General features: G+C 48.2%; 1 protein-coding gene across 18 annotated transcripts in view, besides 1 other annotated feature; it reads left to right on the top strand.

Annotated features, from left to right (window-relative positions):
* Window positions 1-18,341, top strand: part of ZBTB7C (zinc finger and BTB domain containing 7C) — a 385,914-nt gene that overhangs the window by 319,364 nt on the left and 48,209 nt on the right. The window contains exon 5 of one of the 18 annotated variants that reach the window (NM_001371291.1): window positions 5,424-5,552. The exons of the other annotated variants lie outside the window; for them this stretch is intronic. The gene's annotated coding sequence lies outside the window, so the exon portion shown is untranslated. The remainder of the gene's footprint in view (window positions 1-5,423; window positions 5,553-18,341) is intronic. 18 annotated transcript variants of the gene reach the window in all.
* Window positions 12,895-13,817: an enhancer, noted in NCBI's record as "NANOG-H3K4me1 hESC enhancer chr18:45605776-45606698 (GRCh37/hg19 assembly coordinates)". NCBI's record gives its function as "activates a minimal SCP1, AML or CMV promoter by ChIP-STARR-seq in primed H9 embryonic stem cells {active_cell/tissue: H9 hESC(primed)}" and the evidence as "EXISTENCE:reporter gene assay evidence [ECO:0000049][PMID:30033119]".

The following is an 18,341-nucleotide window of genomic DNA, read 5'->3' as shown; positions in this document are numbered from 1 at the left end:
GCATCTCCACCACGGCTGAGTCTACTCTGTGGGCCCAGCTCCCTTACCCTAGTTCGGGCACTGGCAGGAAAGCCCAGTCAGTGCTCTGTTAATACAGTCTCCCCTCTTCTACTCTCACAGCTTTCTGTTGTTAATCGTGAGTTCCCTCACATGAGTCCCCACATTACATTCTCTCTGTTGAATTACCTGGTCCTGACTGGCCCCCGGGCACTTGCAGGATCCCTGTAGAAATGCAAAACCCCTGTATGCCTCCATCCTCAGTGTTTAGTGGAAGTATACCAGGGTATTTCATGGCTTTCCTTCGGCAAGCAAGGCTCAGCAAAAGTTTGATCTATCAGCCTTTATCTACCGATAAAAACCTAGAGTTAATCAGTCAACCAAAAAGCCAGTTAAAGCAGAGATCAGAAACCAAAGCTGCATGAATAACTTACAAATCTTATTTTAACTTCGCACTTAGAAATGTACACTTCTCCACCAGTCTTTCGAGGTGGGTCAAGGCCTTTCATCTGCATATGAGTCTAGTGGTTAGGGTTCCCCCTCTATTCTTCTGGCGTAAACCATCCCCATAAGGACTCTTCTGTGGTTTCTAGAATGGATTTATTAAAGTGGTATGAGAACTTAAAGACAGATGCAAAGCGTATTTGAGTGCAAAATCCTTCTAGGTTTCCAGTTTGCTTTCCAATATTGTATTATCTCCTCCACACCCAATTCAACAGCATTTTTTAAGTGATTCACCTTTGAGTATATCAATTTAGTCTGCATGAAAACTTCAACTTGCTTTCTTTTTGTACTTCGATTTCATCAGTTTACATGATATTTAAATTGTGAAGAACAATAACCAGTACAACTGGCATAAACAGGTTTGGGCCCAGCGCAGCTGCTCCTTACCAGGCATGCAGCTCAGCTAATGGGTACAGGGGCGTTGGGGCATACCAGGGCAAGGCTGGTAGCCTCCAGGGTTCACAACGTGTTAAGTTCATTACATTTGCCAAGGGGATGGGAAGTGTTGACTAATGCTGTGAGCCTAGTAAGTGGAGATGGCACTCCTCCTGTAATTTCCGCCAGGGCTCTGTGTCTGGAAGTGTCGACCCACTATGGAGAAACAAGCACTTGGGCTGATTGGGTGGATGGTGCCCTTATTATTGCAATATCAGCATGTTAATGATTCTATGATTGACATAGAATCTATGCTGCCACAGATTCTATGATTGACATCCACACCCTGCATCTTTGCCAAGGTTCTTCTTCCTGTGTCCTCATCTCTCCACCACTTGACCCAGGACTGGAGGAGTTGGGTGTGAAGAGAAGCACTGGCCTAAGTGTGAATACACAGAGCACTGGACTCTGCCAAATGGGATAAACGGAGGCCACCGAGTGGCCTCTGAAGGTATCATTGGACAATGATGAAGTGGCACCTTTCTTAAGGACCCACAGTGGGTGAGATGGGCAGAGTCTTCCAGCCCAGAACTCAGAAAACATCAGTAGGGTCCTGTCAGGAAGATTAGAGCTCTGGCCTGCTAGACTCTGCCTCGCTGTCCGAAGCTGTCTCCTCACCTGCACAGTGAAGGAGCTGGGCCAAGCAGTCCTAAGAGTTCCCTCAGCTGTTACAGCCAATGTGTCTAAAAGCTCTAATAAATGAGACCCACCCTGGAAATGCTTACAGTCATGAGCTGTCCGATACAATAACCATGAGCTGCCTGTAGATATCAAGTGCTTGAAATGTGAACACCCCAAGTTCTGATGCACTGTGAATGTAAAATGCACACTGGATTTCAAAAACTTAGTTTAAAAAAGAACATACTATTTCTTATTATTGATACATCTCAAAACAATATTTAGGGCCAAGCATGGTGGCTCATGCCTACAATCCCAGCACTTTGGGAGGCCAAGATGGGAGGATCACTTGGGGCCAGGAGTTTGAGACCAGCCTGGGCAACATAACAAGACCCTGTCTCTCCAAAAAAAAAAAAAAAAAAAAAAAAATTATCCGGGCATAGTGGCACATGCCTGTAGTCCCAGCTACTCGGGAGGCTGAAGTGAGGATCATTTGAGCCCAGGAGTTTGAGGCTGCAGTGAGCTATGATCACACCACTGTACTCCAGCCTGGGTGACAGAGCGAGACCCTGTCTTTTAAAAAAAAAAAAACAGAAACACCAATATTTGGCATATATTGGATTAAAATATATTGTTAAAATTAGTTTCCCTTTTTTTTCTTTTCCTTTTTATCATGGCTACCAGACAATTTTTAAATTGCATAGGTGGCTCACAGTGTATTTCTATTGGACAGTTCTGTTCGAGAGAGAAGCTGCACAAAGAGATAACCAGCACTCAGGCCACCTCTGCTTCAGGAGTTAAGAGAGGAAAGAGCACTGTGGGCTGGAGTCATCTGACAAGGGGTTGGAGGCAGTGGAACTGGAAGGTAGATGGGTCTGATTCTGGTAAGACAGGCAAGGGGTGGGTCTGTCTGGCCTGGGTCCAGCACAGTGGGGAGCAGGATCCCATCCTGCAGCCAAGTGCCTGGCCGGACAACTTTTCTGGAAGTGAAGGCTTTGGTAGGGACCATGGGAAGTTAAGGCTGGACAGATAGGCCTGGGTCATGCTGAGCATTCAAGGTCTCAGCCTCTGTCCACTTCCCCAGGACTCATCCCCAGTCCTCTGCTTCTCTCTTTGTTGGTGCTGATGCTCAGCCCAGCTAGAGGCCCACAGCAGGGAGAAGTAGCTGACGGAGGACTTGGTTTGTTCTTCCTGCCTTGCTTGTCTATAAGGCCTGCAGACAGCAATTGTTCAGGAAAGTGCAGGATCGCATCTGGAAGTCTGTAGGTGTCCTTGCAAAGGACTTTTAACTCCCTGGGCAAGAATTCCCTTTGATAGCGATTGGAACCCCAGGATTAGGCAGGAGAGCCAAGCACCGAAGCCCCCTGGTAGAGCTCTGCCACACACACGCCACCCGTGTCCCTGGCACTCACACCTCATTTGTCCTTGGTACACAGCAACAGTCCCTGTGACTGGCCCAGCACCTGCTACGCTCTCACCTTTCCCTTTTATGATCTGAGAAAATCCGGGGACTCACAGGAAAAACCACATGCTGTCTCTGGCTGTGGGTGTTTTCCTGGCACTTCCCGCGATGGGTCCCACCTTATGGGAACCTTCCTGAGCACTGGCCTCTGGCCAAGGGTGGGAAGGGCATGGAACTACCCACCTCACTGCCCTGCCACGGACCACACTCCCACCTCCTTCACCCAGTTCTGAATCCCAGAACTATCCTTGCTGGTCTTGGGAAGAGAGGAACGCTATGAAGGGCCAGTGTCAACCCTGCGTGATCGGCAGCCTCACCCAGCGGGCTTTTAAACCATAGCCAGGCCTGACCCCATCTCCAGAGTCTGATTAATTAAGCCACAGCAGCCAGTTTGTTTGTTTGTTTGTTTGTTTAGGCTTTCTATCATGGAGAATAACTGTTTAGATTCAAGACAAAACTTTATCATCTTGCACCTCAAAGTGTGGCCCTTGAACCAGAAGCATCTGGTGTCACCTGGAAGCTAATCAGAAATGCAGACTTTTAGGCCCTACCCCATTCCTCTTGAGTCAGAATACACATTTTAGTGAGAGCCCCATGTGAGCGGTGTGCGTAGTACCATGTGAGAAACTCCACTGGAGTGGACATCAGAATCGCCCGGGGAGTTGGGGCAACTGGAAATCTAGGGCCCCACTTTCTGAACCTGACTCTTCTTTTTTTTTTTTTTTTCGAGATGGAGTCTTGAGTCTCGCTCTGTCACCCAGGCTGTAGTGCAGTGGCGTGATCTCGGCTCTCTGCACCCTCCGCCTCCCGGGTTCAAGCGATTCTCCTGCCTCAGCCTCCCAAGCAGCTGGGATTATACAGGCGCCCACCACCACACCCGGCTAATTTTTTGTATTTTTAGCAGAGACGAGGTTTCACCATGTTGGCCAGGCTGGTTTTGAACTCCTGACCTCAAGTGATCCACCCGCCTCAGCCTCCCAAAGTGCTAGGATTACAGGCGTGAGCCACTGCACCCGGCCTAAACTTGACTCTTAGAAGTCCATGGTTGGGAGCAGGAAGCCTCACTCAATCAGCAATTCAGATTATTCTAATTAATTGGAATAATTAGTTTAGGGCTTTGTCTTTTCAAAATAATTTTCTCTCCTGTGTGATCAGTAAACCGGGCTCAGGGAGGGTGCATGCACACTGCCACCAGGTAAGCTGTGGTTTCAATTCAGCACTCTTGCATCCAAGTATCTTTAGTGGCTGCCCATTGCCTACCAAATTAAGGTCAAATTCTGCAGCCTCGCATTGAGGAAGCTCCCTAATTTGACCCCCTGCCCACTGCCAAGTCCACACCCATAATTTCCTTCTTTTTTTTTATTTTTATTTTTTCTGAGACAGAGTTGCACTCTGTCGCCCAGGCTGAAGTGCAGTAGCGCAATCTCTGCTCACTGCAACCTCCACCTTCCAGGTTTGAGCGATTCTCGTGCCTCAGCCTCCTGAGTAGCTGGGATTACAGGTATGCACCACCACACCCGGCTAATTTTTTTGTATTTTTAGTAGATACAGGGTTTCACCATGTTGGCCAGGCTGGTCTTGAACTCCTGACTTCAAGTGATCCACCCACCTTAGCCTCCCAAAGTGCTGGGATTATAGGTGTGAGCCACTAGGGCTGGCCAGTTTCCTTCTGTTAATGTATCCAACCAGCCAAAATGGAACCACTTGATCGGCTGAGCGCATTGTCTATATTCATTTTTTTGTTCCTTTGTTTATACAGTTGTGTTTTTTTGTTTCTTTGACTAGAATGTATATCCTGCTCCTTCTCTGCCTAAAACTTATCCATACCTAAATATTGTTCATCCCTCAAGGCCTGTTTCTTTGACAGCCCAGACTTAGAGCAATGTGTCCCTCCTTTGAGCTCCTGAAGGGCCAGCTGAAGACTCTGTCATTTGGTTGGTGGAGGCCAAGGTAACTGGAGTCTATGGAGTCCTTGCTTACTTCGGGGGGCCTGAGTTCTTTCTCCCCTGTTAGACTGTGACACTAAGCAAAGCCACAGACGAAAGCTTTATGCTTTTATTGTGGCACTGCTGTCTTCCTGACCCCCTTTAGCACTGTGGCTTGTGCATGGTCAGGGCTTTGTCGATATTTGATTGAAGGTGGATATGGAGGATAAAATTTGGGTTACAGGGGTGTTAGTGTGATGCTGATCACATACACTTGTGTACTTATGTATTCATATAAAGCTACTGTTTTAGTCTTTTCAAAAGTAAGCACTAGCTTTAAAGAGTGAAAGGAAAGAATGAGGTTAAATGGAGGAAAAGGCTAAAGCAATTCAGGAAGAAATAAGAAAAATATGGAAAAATGCCCCCCCCCCCCACCCACTTTTAAAAGTAAGTAACCATCCTTTATTTGTTATTTATTTTAGAGAAAGGGTCTCGTTCTGTTGCCCAGGTGAGCCTGGAGTGCAGTAGTACAGTCACAGCTCACTGCAGCCTCAAACTCTTGGGCTCAAGAGATGTTCCTGCCTCAGCCTCCCAAGTAGTCGGGACTACAGGTACATGACACCGTGCCCAGCTAATTTTTTTTTCTTTTTAATTTTTTTCTAGAGATGGGGTTGTGCTTTATTGCACCGGTTGGTCTTAAACTCCTAGCTTTGGAGGATTTTTCCTGCCTCAGCCTCCCCAGGCGTGGGGATTACCACAAGAGTGATTACCATGCCTGGCCATAAATGCCTCCTTTGGCCTCTGCCAGACCAGGGTCACAGCTCTGATCACTTGGAATCAAATCTGAGAAGTGGGAGAGTAATGAGCATAAGAACATAGCTTATTGGGAATGCAAAAGGTCTGTAAGTCTCCCTGGCCCTAGCCAGCAGGAATTGTGTTTTAAGGGAACACTGTGTTCAACATTTTCACATTCTCATAGAAACTCCAGTGTCTTACTTGTCATGAGACAACACTGGAGCTTTCCTGCCTCTTGCCTTTGTTCATAGAATTCAGATGCCCTCCTTGCTTTTGGATGCTCTCATTGCCTTCTCCAGGCCCAGGAGCACAGTGAGCACTCAATAGCAGGCAACCAAGGCTGAGGATCCAGTGCTGGAAGACTTGAAGTCAGTTTCAACCTCTCCTACTAACTATGTGCACAATCCTGGGCAGATCACCTCACATTTCTGACTTTCAGTGTTCTCATCTGGAAAATGAGGATCATTATAGTTACTTCTCAGAATCGCTGGGAGGAGTTACTGAAAAACAATATATGTTAACCCTTTAGCACAGCGCCTTGTAGGAAGTAAGCACTCAACAAACGGTAGCTATTATTATTAATATTTGCAAAATGGGAATAACAAGGCCCACTCCAGCACAGAGTTCGATTAAATAAATTGTATTAAATTTAAATAAGATGGTAAACATACAAGCGTTTGCAAAGTTTAAAGCCTGTTGCACATCACACATTCGTTCACTTAACAATAAGTACTAAGCCTGCTCAGCCTGCTGCAAGAAGATCAAGGACACACAAGGCAGAGCCCTCAGAATCCAGGAAGGGAGATAAAGTTCACATGCATCTGCAAGGCTGCAGAGAAGGAAAGATGATTTCTCCCTGAACAGGCGGTACTCTTTACTGAGAACCCTGAAGTGTGGGTTCCATTGTGGTGGATGAGACAGGACTCTGGAGGGGATGAGAGTAGGAAGGCATTCCAGGCAACAGAGAGGCTTGTGTGAGCAATGGGACCATACACGGGGTGTTAGGGAAACAGAAAATGATCTAGATTATGGAACATGGGGTGCCGCTTTACAGGGCAGTAGGTAGAAATGCAGGCTCTGGAGCCTGCCTTCTGAAATTCAGTTTCAACTCTACCATCTCCTAGCTGTGTGACCTTGAGTATATTTCTTAACCTCTCTGTGCCTCAATGTCCTCACCTATAAAATGGGGATGATAATAATAGTATCTACCTTATGAGGTTGTTGTGAGGATTAAATGAGATAATACATACTCTTGGATCTGTACAGTGGGGCACAGTCTAAGAACTTGGTGATTTCTTCCTGTGGTTAGTGGGGAACAGCAGAGAGAAAAAGAAAAGCCCAGGAAGCAGGCAGGGGCAGAATGAATGCCAGGTTCAGGAACTGTCCTTCATGACGAAGGTGGGGACCTGTCAAAGGTGATTGAACAAGAGAATGACATGATCCAAGTTGCTTGTAAGAAGATGAGTCAGCCAGCAATGTTCAGAGTAAGCCAGCTCAGGGAGAGAGGAGAGGTGGCTCCGCTGCCCAGCCTGTGGCTGAGATGGCCTAGGCATGGTCAGGCAGGGATCCTGGAGAAGGAACCAGAGCCCCTCAGAGGCCTCCCACCAGAGCCACAGTCACTGAATCTGCTGCTGGAGCCAGGCAGGGCCCCTGGCCAGGCAGGGAGGGGTCTCTGAAGATTCCAGACATTTATTCGTCCCAGAGTCTGTGTGGTCACCATTCCTTACAGTGAGCCCAAAGCCCAGTTCTTCATGACCAACACTCAGTTTTCCCCTGAAGATATTTACTATTAGATAATATTGATAGCTAATGTTTATTGAGTACTTCCTGCCAGCCAGGAATTGTTCTAAGTACTCATAGTATTAACTCTTTTAATCCTCACAACCCTAGGATGTAGAATTGACTCATACTCCCCACTTGACAGAGGAGGAAACTGAGGCACACAGACGTTCAGTCACTTGCTCAGAGTCACACAGCTAATGAATAGCAGAGCAGGGATCCAAACCCTGGTCTAGGGCTGCCTTTTCACATCTTCTACTCCTTGTCAGTTCATGTTTGTCAGGCAGAAAAAAATCATGTCTTATTTGAGCCTGTGACAAACGTCTCTAGTGAGGAGACTTCTCCTGGGGGAGAGGTAATGGGCCCCTTTGGGTAGGCACCACAAGGTAAACATGCTTGGGTGACGAAATGGGGCCTTTCCCTCCCTCTTGCTCACCCTCCTCTCCCCAGCATACTCCCAGCTCTACCTCCAAAGCCTGCTCTCAGGACAGAGCCTAAGGCCCCTTGAAAGCAAGGTCTGTGTCTTCTTCGCCTTTTTACCTACCCCCACCCGCCCTGCCGTAAAGCCCAGCAGAGGACCAGGCTCAAGGTAGGCCCTTGAGTTCAGCTGAGTTGATCTGGATGAACTCATCCATACTGAGATGTAATTGACTGATAAGATGTTAATGACACCATTCCCGGGGGCTGGGCATTTTAATGTGGGCTAAAGTACAGGTTTGGCTTGCCCCAAAGGAATGAAGGTTTGATTGTGGAATGATGGGCATCAGTCAGCGGGGAAGCTTCAGGGGTCAGTAGGAGTGACAGAGGTTCACTGAACAGAGGTTCAGACAAAGGGGTTCGGGTGACAGAGTCCCTCTCTGGCTCCCAGATACCATACCCCATACAAGCAGCCACCATTTCTGTCTCTGCCTTGCCAAGTGCTTCAAACTCAACATACTTACTAGGTCCTGAGGTGCATGAGACCCATGCTAACCCCTGAGGAGGGCAAGAAGTGGGTGGGAAGGCCCAGCACTGGCCCGGAGGGTTGAGGAAGCCAGGCTGGGCCACACTGGGTCTGAATCTGTGTAAACACCAGCCACGGGGGCCAGGGTAGGGGTGATAGGGCGAGTGGGGCCTGCCTGAGTCACTCACTCCTCCGTGGCTCACAGGCATACTGTGGGTCCAGGTTCATGCTGGATGCCCCAGAAAAGTGCAGACATGCCCAGTGGAGTCAGGTCAGAGGAGCAGAGGAGCTGCAGGGACCTCAAGAGCCACCTGCCGCCACTGCTGTGAGTCAACCCAGAGCTAAAGATGGCCGCTTCCTAATATGACAAGTGAAATGAAATAGAGTGTGATGTGAAACTTACTCAAAACAACAGGGCGAAGAGACCTAAGCCCCCATCGTGGGGAGGGGATGGCATATCATCTGGCAGGACCTCATTTCTGCAGTCCCCCGACCTCTGGCCCCTGATCTTTGCTCCCCACTGCCCCGCCTTCCTCTGACCCAGGGTGAGGCCTCGGAAGGCTGAACCTTCCCTGAGACCTTTCATTCTCTCCTTAGTTGCTCCGGGGCTAGGAGACGTGCCCCACTGCTTCCTTCCTCAACACCACCCTTCAGCACAGTGGGACACCCACCCAGGGGTAATGGAAAAGGAAGCTGGGTGCAGAGGAGGCCTCATGCCTGCAGAAGGTTCTGGTAGTTTCCTTCGGTGTGGAAACCTTCCATAGGCACAAGGGAGGAGGCTGTCCCTGCGACGACCCTGGAGAGTCGGTCTCAGGTCGTGTTTAAAGGCCTGCTTCAACCAACAGGATTGGAAGTTCACCAAATGGGTCCACTGAAGCTCTTCCTTTCTTCAGGGACAAGATAGGAGGGGAAAGTAAGTTCCTAATATGGGTTGCTAAAATAAGGCCCTTTATAACCTCATAATCAGAAGGAACAAAGGAGTTTCCTTACCCAGCCACCATTTACAGTCAGGGGAACTTCTTTAATTTCATTTTTTTAAGGGCACTGAAATGGATTTTGCTGCTGTATGGAGCAGTAAAGCCCCATTATGACAAATTCCGTTACAGAGAAGCATTCAGTGATTAGAGATTTCCATGTCCCAGCAAATGGCCTATGGAAACAGGGCTCTGTGAGTGGGGTCAGACACAAACTTTGCACCGCAGCCTCCTCTAGTCCTTCTCTCTGTCTCCAGCGTACCCTTCCCTTAGATGGAGAGAAATGCTTTGCATTTATTTTGCTGCCTCTGTATGAGGAGGTGTGGGATGGGTGAGGAGGGGTAGGGTGGGTGAGGACAGGCAGGGGACGAGGGGCTAAAGAGAGAAAGAGAGATGAAGGAATACTGTGGAGGGAAGAAAGCTGGTCTGCAACTGAGGCTTCTAGATTGTTAGTTTGGCATCAATTACAGCCCCTCGGGATGTTGGTTCTAGAGGGCTACTTGGAAATCAATCATTTAAGGCAGTGTTTTTCAAACTGCAAGTGATGCTCTATTATGGATAGTTTGATCAATCTAGTAGGTCATAGCGCTAGCTTTTTAAAATTAAAAAAAGAAAAGAAGAATAGAATAGAAAATAACATGCATCATATGTAGTTAGAGTAAGTATTATTCAATACTTTTATTTCAGGTCTTCACACGCAGATGTATATCCTGGTCATGAAGAAAAATGTCATAGCGGGTTATAGTTGGGAAAAGTTTGGTGAACACTGATCATGTCTCCCAATACCTAGATTTTCATTTTAAGAACACTGAGGTACAGAGAGGGAAAGCCACTTGTCCAAAATCAACCAACTCATGAAATTTGCATCCAGGACATGAGGCCTGACTTCCAGGCCAGACCTCATTCACCCAGCAGTTTCCCACATCAGATCCTTCCTGTGGAGGGCAGTTGAAGTGTACATGTGGCTCTCCATCAAAGCAACCTGCTCTAGGCCTTGCTCTAGGCCTCTGACTCTCAGTTTTCTCATCTCTAAAATGGGCCCATACCCACCCAGCAAGGTCATTGTGAGGATGATGAGATTACATAAAACTCATGCCCAGCGCACGGGAGGTACTCAGAGTCTGCTGTTTGCCTTACTTTCTCTCCTTTCCAGATACCTGGAGCTTCTCCCTTTCCCTGGGGTAAAATACATAGACATATATTACAATTCCCCTAACTTGTGCCTCGACACAAGCAAACATCCCAGAGAGAAGGCAGTGACCTGTGCCTGCCTGCACACACCTCCTACCTTGTCAGGCAGTTCCAGCATTGCTTTGAGCCCGTTGCTTCCCTGCTGAGGGCCTGGGTGACAGCTCCGTCTCATCTTGGGTTCCTGCAGATAAGGAACAGGACTTCGGTAATGTAGGTGGGTTGAAAATACCCAAGATGACTAACAATTTGATCATTCCCAGGCACCATTGTGGAAGTTTTACCTGTATTCTTACCTGCAGAGAAAAATGATGGCTCAGATCTCATGCTCAAGATGTTCTTACATTCTGTTGCCCTATGATAAGGCTCAGCGTGTTGGAATCTTCTCCAAATAGGCTGTGCAAGGGGACAGTGTATAATTTTGTGAAAAACAAATGCTTTATGGGGACTGTTTTAATTTCAACTCACTTGGAACACCCCCAAGTCCCCAAACCATTGTGATAAGGACCAGTTTTCTTCCTCTTGGCCTCCTCTAATGCGTAGACCAACACTGTCCTATAGAAATATTGTGCCAGCCACATACTGACTTTAAAATGTTCCTCATAGTCACATTACAAAAATACAAGTTAACATTAATTTTTGCAATATATTTTAACTCAGTATATCTAACATATCATTTCAACATGTAATTCATATAAAAATTATTAATGCTATATCTATCTTTTTTTTTGGTACTAAATCTTCAAAATCCAGTGTCTATCTTCCACTTGCAGCTCATCTCAGTTTGAGCAGCTACATTTCAAGTGCTTAATAGCCTCGTGTGGCTAATGGCTTCCAGGTCACACAGCACAAGCAGAGTCTTCTGCACATGGTAGGAGTTCAAAACATTTTGCAGAACTTAATTTGATGCTGGACCCCTGTTGAACCTCAGGAGGCACGTTAAGATCTGAGGATTGGGAACTGAAGGAAAAGAAGGGAGAAAGGCCTTGATGGTGGTATTGTAAAGAAATCACTTAGAGGGAGGCTGAGGCAGGAGAATGGCATGAACCTGGGAGGCGGAGCTTGCAGTGAGCTGAGATTGCACCACTGCACTCCAGCCTGGGCGACAGAGTGAGACTCTATCTCAACCAAAAAAAAAAAGAAAAAGAAAAAGAAAAAGAAAAAAGAAATCATTTAGAATGAGCAAAACCACAGCCTTTAAAACAGCCAGGAACTGCCTCCCCTTCCTGGGCTACATCAGACTTGTCTGTTGGTCCTGACATGGATGGTACAACAGGTGTCTAGAATCAGAAAACCTGAGTGCAAGGTGCAGACTCGATGCCCCATGCTGAATGGTCATGGGGCCAGTTGCAGGATCCAAGCTATGCTAAGCCTCCCTGGAAGTTTGGCTGTTGACTGTCTGGAGACTGAGAGATGGCCTCCTGATGTCTCATTTTCATCACAGGTAGGGTTTCCACTTCCCTTCTCAAAGATTTGCATCAAGAAGAACTAAATTTTAGCTTTTGTTACTCATCCATTTCAAGGAATTTACCCCCAGTAATGGGAGAAGCTCCATGGTGTCTTTGCAGGGAGAGCTGTATGGCTGGCCAGTGTCAGGCTCCCAGGGAAATTTCAGTGATGCTTGATGAGAGAGATCAAACCAGGGGTGAGTGAGGAAAGAATACACGAATCTCAAGTGGGGAAAAGAAGCAGGAAGCACGTGGGCTTGCCCGGGCTCTCTACAGTGGCAGGGGCAGAGGGAGAAAGATGAGCAGGTGGACAGCCAGACCCAGGGGAAACCTGGGGCTCTCGGGTTGCCTGGCCTCATGGGCTCTGGGGTTGCCTGGCCTTGTGGGCTCTGGAGGCTTGCCCAGGCCTCACTGTGTGCAGCCCCAGCAGGACCAGCCAAGCTCACAGTGGCTGGTGTCAGGACAGCCCAGTTCATGTCACATGGTGCCACATCAGCCACTAACCTACATAATAGACCCCATGTGAGGGCACTTCAGAGCTTGAAGGGGAAGTGCAGAGACCATTCCTTCCTTTACAGATGCAGAAACAGAGGCCCACAGAGGTGAAGCAGCTTGACGGGTTAGATGGAAAGTAGAAGGATGCCTAGGAATTGGAAACTCCAGGTGCCTGCTCCTTCTGTCATGCACATTAATTAGAGCATTGTTTGTGGCTCTCTTAGCTTCGCCTTAATGAGAGTCAATACATGAAAAATATGGGCTTACACTGGGACCCACAGAGAAATAAGGATGTGAAATGAGAGGGTACAAGTGAACACCCAAATGCCGTGTCGCTTGTGGGCAACTTGGATCTGGCAGGGTGCTGTCTGCACTCAGATATCCAGAGTCACACATGGGTCTGTCCAGGTACTAGAGGGCTTGGATACAGGAATCAGGACGGTGTGGGCTGAGGTGACTGAAGTGTTAAGAGTGACAGCAGGCTGGCTCAGAAGCCCTTGTACTCCATGCAGGGCTGATCCCATCTGGGGCTGTCATCCTTCAGCTGATGGAGACATTGAATGTCACTCCCCCACCAGGCGGGCCCCAAAGGCGCCATTCTGCTGTCAGTGGGCTTGCCAGAGTGTGGTAACGTCTGCTCCCTGTGCTGAGGAGCAGTGGTGTCGTTAGCACAGACTCATGTGCTGCTGTCAGAGGAGTGGAAAGCTGAGGAGGTGGCCCCATGCCCTGCAGTCCCTGGGCACTTGCCCACTGGCCCACAGACTAGGCTCTTCTTGCTGGCTGAGGTGCCAGTGCTCGGTCCCCCTGGAAGTGGACCTATGTCCCTCTTCCCCGGCTCCCCTGTAGCCTCCCAGGAAGCAGGTCCTAGAGGCTACATCATACCCCACGAAGTGGAATGGCAGAACTGCAAGAGCCAAGGCCTTTCCAGCGGGCTGGAGCCCACCCCTTCTCTTTTGTGAAGGCAGTTTTGCTAAGAGTATGGGTCTGGAGGGGCTCTGATGGGTGAGCTGGCTGCCTTCTCCTTAGGCCATTGTGGCCCCTAAAGCCCAGCCAGCTTCATCCTCTCTGCTTTGGCGAGGAGGTGCTGATGTAGCCAGGAGGGGAGGGGTTAGGAAATGAAGTGGCCAGTACCCCACGATCCCACTGCAGTTGAGTTTGTCCCCTCCAATGAGGTGGACCCTGGGCCCATTTATTCTGACACTTTGTTCCGCAGGATTCTTTGAATCTCTGAGATGGGATAGTGGGTGCCTCCCTTTCCAGAATAGGTAACACTTTAAAAAATTGGGCACAAATGTTTTATTTCACTTATTCAACAAATATCTGGTGCCTACTATGTACAAGAGACACTGTGCTGGGCACCATGGACCCCATAATAAGGGCAACGAGTCATGACTTACCTGTGGTTGAACTGAAAAATGCCACTGGCCCCTTGGCATCTGGCCATACATCATATCGTGACGCATGTATGATCCCAAACAAGGCAGAGAGCCATCTGAGGCCTCAGTTTACCAATCTGTAAAACTGGAATAATTGATCTTTAAGTTCACCCCAGCTCTAGAAATTCTATAATTCCTCACAGCAATCCACTCCTAGGCATATACCCAAAATAAATGAAAATGGGTACTCAAACAAATACTTGTACATCAACATTCACAGCAGCGCTATTCACAATAGTCAAAACTAAACCGAATGTCTATCAATGAATGAATGAATGAATGAATGAACAAATTGTGATATATGCATTCAGTGGAATATTATTTAGCCATTAAAAATGAATGAAGCACTAATACATGCTACAACATGGATGTACCTGGAAAACATCATGCTAGTGAAAGAAGCCAGACACAAAAGGTTACATGTTGTATAATTTTATGGGCTCTGTGGATCAAGAGGACAAAGTCCATCATTAACTTGAACTAAGCTCCTGCCAAGCCCAGAGCCCCCCACCCTGCTACCTGCCTATGGGTTCTTGCATCTTCTCTGCTTTGGAAATTAGTGGCTCTCTCTACCACTCTGGTGTGAGAATGGAGGTTCTCCTGTAGCTTTCAGTTAGTCGGGGCAGTGCTCACCACAACCCTTGGAGCCCCCAAGCATCCCACGACTGCTCCCCAGTACACCCAACTCACTCTTCTTATGCTGGGCCTGCTGCACCGATGCCCTCAAGGCTGACCTGATGCTGCCGGTGGAGTGTGAGCCAAGGTGCCAGTACCAAGGTTGAGGGTACCCTGCCCATCCTGAAGGTATGCCCCCCAGAGGCAGCAGAGGTCCTGGGGCCACACCATGTTCTCTGCAGAGTCAGACAGCCACACTTTCCCACCTTTGTGCTGCCACCAAAGGGGCCTTGCATGTGTGTCTCGGAGATGTTAGACACAGAACCTTTGGATTTTCCTGGGCTCTCTCCCGGTAGGATCCTTTCCCTTGTACAGGACCTGATATATTGCAGGAGCTTGAGAATTATGTGTTGTGTAACTGAATGAGTGAATGAATGATGGGTATTTGGAATCATGCGAGATAAGCCAGAGGGCCATCTTAGTGACAAATCTCCCATCACCTCCAACCCTGAGGGGTCTGAGTCTCTAGCTTCTGGCCTTCTACTCCACCTGTCTTGGGGAGAGTCATGGTATGGGGGGCAGCTTGTTCCTTCATGCAACAGATGCTTGGCTGCCTGCCCTCCCCCCCACCCCAAGACTCTCCCTCATGTGCCCTGGGCCCCTCTAATTCTGCATAGACATAGTTTAAACTCAAGCTGGAGCCCAGCCAGGTGAGCTGGGGAGGCTAAGGGACCGAAAGAGGCTCTTGGTGGGTCTCCTCAGCATCTTACCTCTATAACCAGGGAGCCAGCAGGGTATTGTGCAGGCCTGAGTCCTGCCTCTGCCTGCTGAGAGGTGATGATGATAAGACCCAACTCAGATGGTGAGGACGAGGTGACCCAGGTGCTCATCAAATGTTGCCACCACTACATTCAGTGCTTACACCTTTGGGGGCTCACTTACCCCGACTTCCACGTGTGCATCTGTGACTGGAAGCAGCTACCCTCTTTGGTGACCTTCCATGTGCCCTGACTGTACTTTGTCACTTCACTTCTCTGTTCATTCATTCAACAAGTGTTTTAAGCAGCTGCTCCATGCCAGGCCCTGTACTAGGCTCAGACTCGCCAAGTTGGATAGGGTGTGCCCCACACGCCCTTCCTCACTCCCTGGTTTTGTGCGTTTATTGCAGGGTTTCTCAATGACGGAGTTTGGGGTGTGAGCGTACTGGGGGAGTTCCGTATTGAATCACCAGTAGGGTGTTTTTAAGCACCACCCCCATCTCACCTTCATTACCCCCTCCACTTACATAGTTACCTTTGTGTGTGTGTGTCTGGAGAATATTTAAGTTTCAAGTATACCATACCTTATTATTAACTATAGTCACCATGACTTTTATTAGGTCTCCAGAACTTACTCATAACTGGAAGTTTGTACCCTCTAGCCGACATCTCCTCATTTCCTCCACCCCACCCCTGCAGGATTTTCTGATTTTTAAAGAGAGCCTGTATTGCCTTTAGAATAAGAAAAAAAATCATAGAGGAGGAAATGCTTTTTTTTTTTTTTTTTGCATATAACAACATATTGTGCATTTCTTTCTATTCTCTTCCTGTGACCTTTGCTGGAAGGGAACTTAGGTGCTGTCTTGGCCAAGTTCAGAAACATGTAGGACATTATGGAGAAGTGTTAAAGCCAGGTTAGTACTTATTTGAAGCTTCTTCCTTGATTGAATTCGATTTGTTGGAAAAGGGATCATGGTTCGGGCTTTGGGCAGGGCATAATGACTACATTCTCCTGCAATCCCATGGGTTCTCAGCAGAGCAGTGCATTTTGGGACCCCTGGCTCCAACATGCAAGTCTAGAAGGTTCCCTGTGGAGCCCTCATAATAGCTGTCCCAAGGTCTCCGTGGGTCAAGAGGACAAAGCCCATCAGCAACTTGAACTAGGCTCCTGCCAAGCCCAGAGCCCCTCACCCTGCTCCCTGCCCATGGGGTTCTTGCATCTTCTCTGCTTTGGAAATTAGTCGTGTGGGCAACCACTCACCCACAATCTCAGTGGCTGGCAAGGTGCTTGGAAAGCAGGGAATATTTGGGGTCAGTGTCCTGGATATTTAAAAATTGCTTTTCTATTTGGGACCAGTGTCCTAGATATAGCCTGGATATAGAACTGCCAGTGGCCCTTTGCCCATTGGAAACCCCCCACCTCCCTCCCCTTACCCTCCTCTAGGCACCCAGCACTTTCCATTTTTCTTTTCTAGGTCCTTACCACATTAAACCTTGTGGTTATTTATAAAGAACCTGTTGCAACTACAAGAGTGTCAATTCCTTCCTTCACTCGTTGAGTCTCACTCTCCTCATAAATAAAATTAGAGACTGATTAGCTGCCTCCTAGCATTGCTGTGAAAACTAAAGTCAGGTCACAGGAGTAAAGTGCCTCACAAGCCACTAGGAACATAGAAGCGGCTCATTTAGTGGGGACCCATTATCCCTCTGCCTTGGGGACAAGAAACATGTTTATTTTTCATTCTTGCAGCACCTTGCCCAGAGCCCGACTCATAGAAGGCCTTCATTTGGTAGGCATTTGCTGAATTTGCCTGAGCAGGCGCTGGGGAGGAACAAGTTAAGGGAGGGTGGAGTGAGGGAACAAACATTTCTTTGGCACCCGGTACTACATGCCAAGAGGCGCTCTCTTAGGTGCACAAAGATGGATTATATGTTCAGCCCGAGAGCAGAGCTGGGAACTCCTAGGAGAGCGGATTTGGGAGGATGGGGCATCTTCAACTGGTGTTTCTGATTTCTGGACGTGCTGGGAGATTAGCGGACAGAGCAGGTGGGGCCTCTGAAGGCTCTTCTGTTTAACCTGAACATCCTCCCTTTCAACTGCAGGGAGGATGACGCTGACCTGTGTCGTGTCATTTCTACCTTTCTACCTGGGGAAAGGTAGAAAGGAGTCACCTGCCCCTCCTCCACCCAGAAACAGGCCTGAGAGCTCTTGCTCTCCCTGCAGCTGCAGGGGAAGCCTCCAGATGCCATCCTGGGAGTGGGGAGGCAGGAGGAGGAATCAATCAACCCAAAACTGTGCAATCGCTAAGCCGATGATCTCAGCCAAGCCCACGGTGAGGGAAGAAGGGCTGCTCTGTGTTTCCTGGAACTCCAGGCATCAAACAGATCCTGTGGAGGTTCTAGCATGTTCTTCCTCTCTGGGCTGGCTGTTCCCATTTCCATCTGGCTTCTCCTTATTGGGCACTGGGCTTGAAGCCCTTTGTCGCATCACCAGCCTCTTTGGATAAGAATGAGCAGATCTGCAGCTAAGACTGGAGAGCTTGTGTCCTTTCTCTCCCATAGAACAGTAAGGGCATTTGGGAGGGGAGAAATGACCAAGTGGAGGCCAGTATGCCTTGAGGAGCTGTTTGGCAGTGCCATCTACCCAGCACATTGATGAAGCTCAAATGCGTCCTCTTCATGCTAATGCCTGTAGCACTGTGGGTGGGGGAGGCAGAGTTGAGAAAACACATGGAAGTCTGTATCCTGGGGAAATTGCCAAACGCCTCTTTTCTCTCCTTGTACCTTGTGCCACCTCCCTCTTCTCTGCGCACTTTGATAGATGACCTATTTTGATGCTGGCAAAGATGTGAGTTCAATTAACTAGAGGAGTCAAAGGATCAAGGGAAATTTGAGAATTAAAAAACAAAAGGTGCCAGTATGTTAATAAGTGTGTGACCCATCACAAAAACATCACTGAATGGAGAGGA

This window comes from Homo sapiens, chromosome 18 (genome assembly GCF_000001405.40).
Source record: "Homo sapiens chromosome 18, GRCh38.p14 Primary Assembly".
NCBI classification, from domain to species: Eukaryota; Metazoa; Chordata; class Mammalia; order Primates; family Hominidae; genus Homo; species Homo sapiens.
The sequence above is the reverse complement of the archived record's forward strand: the minus strand, read 5'-3'. Positions and strand labels throughout refer to the sequence as shown.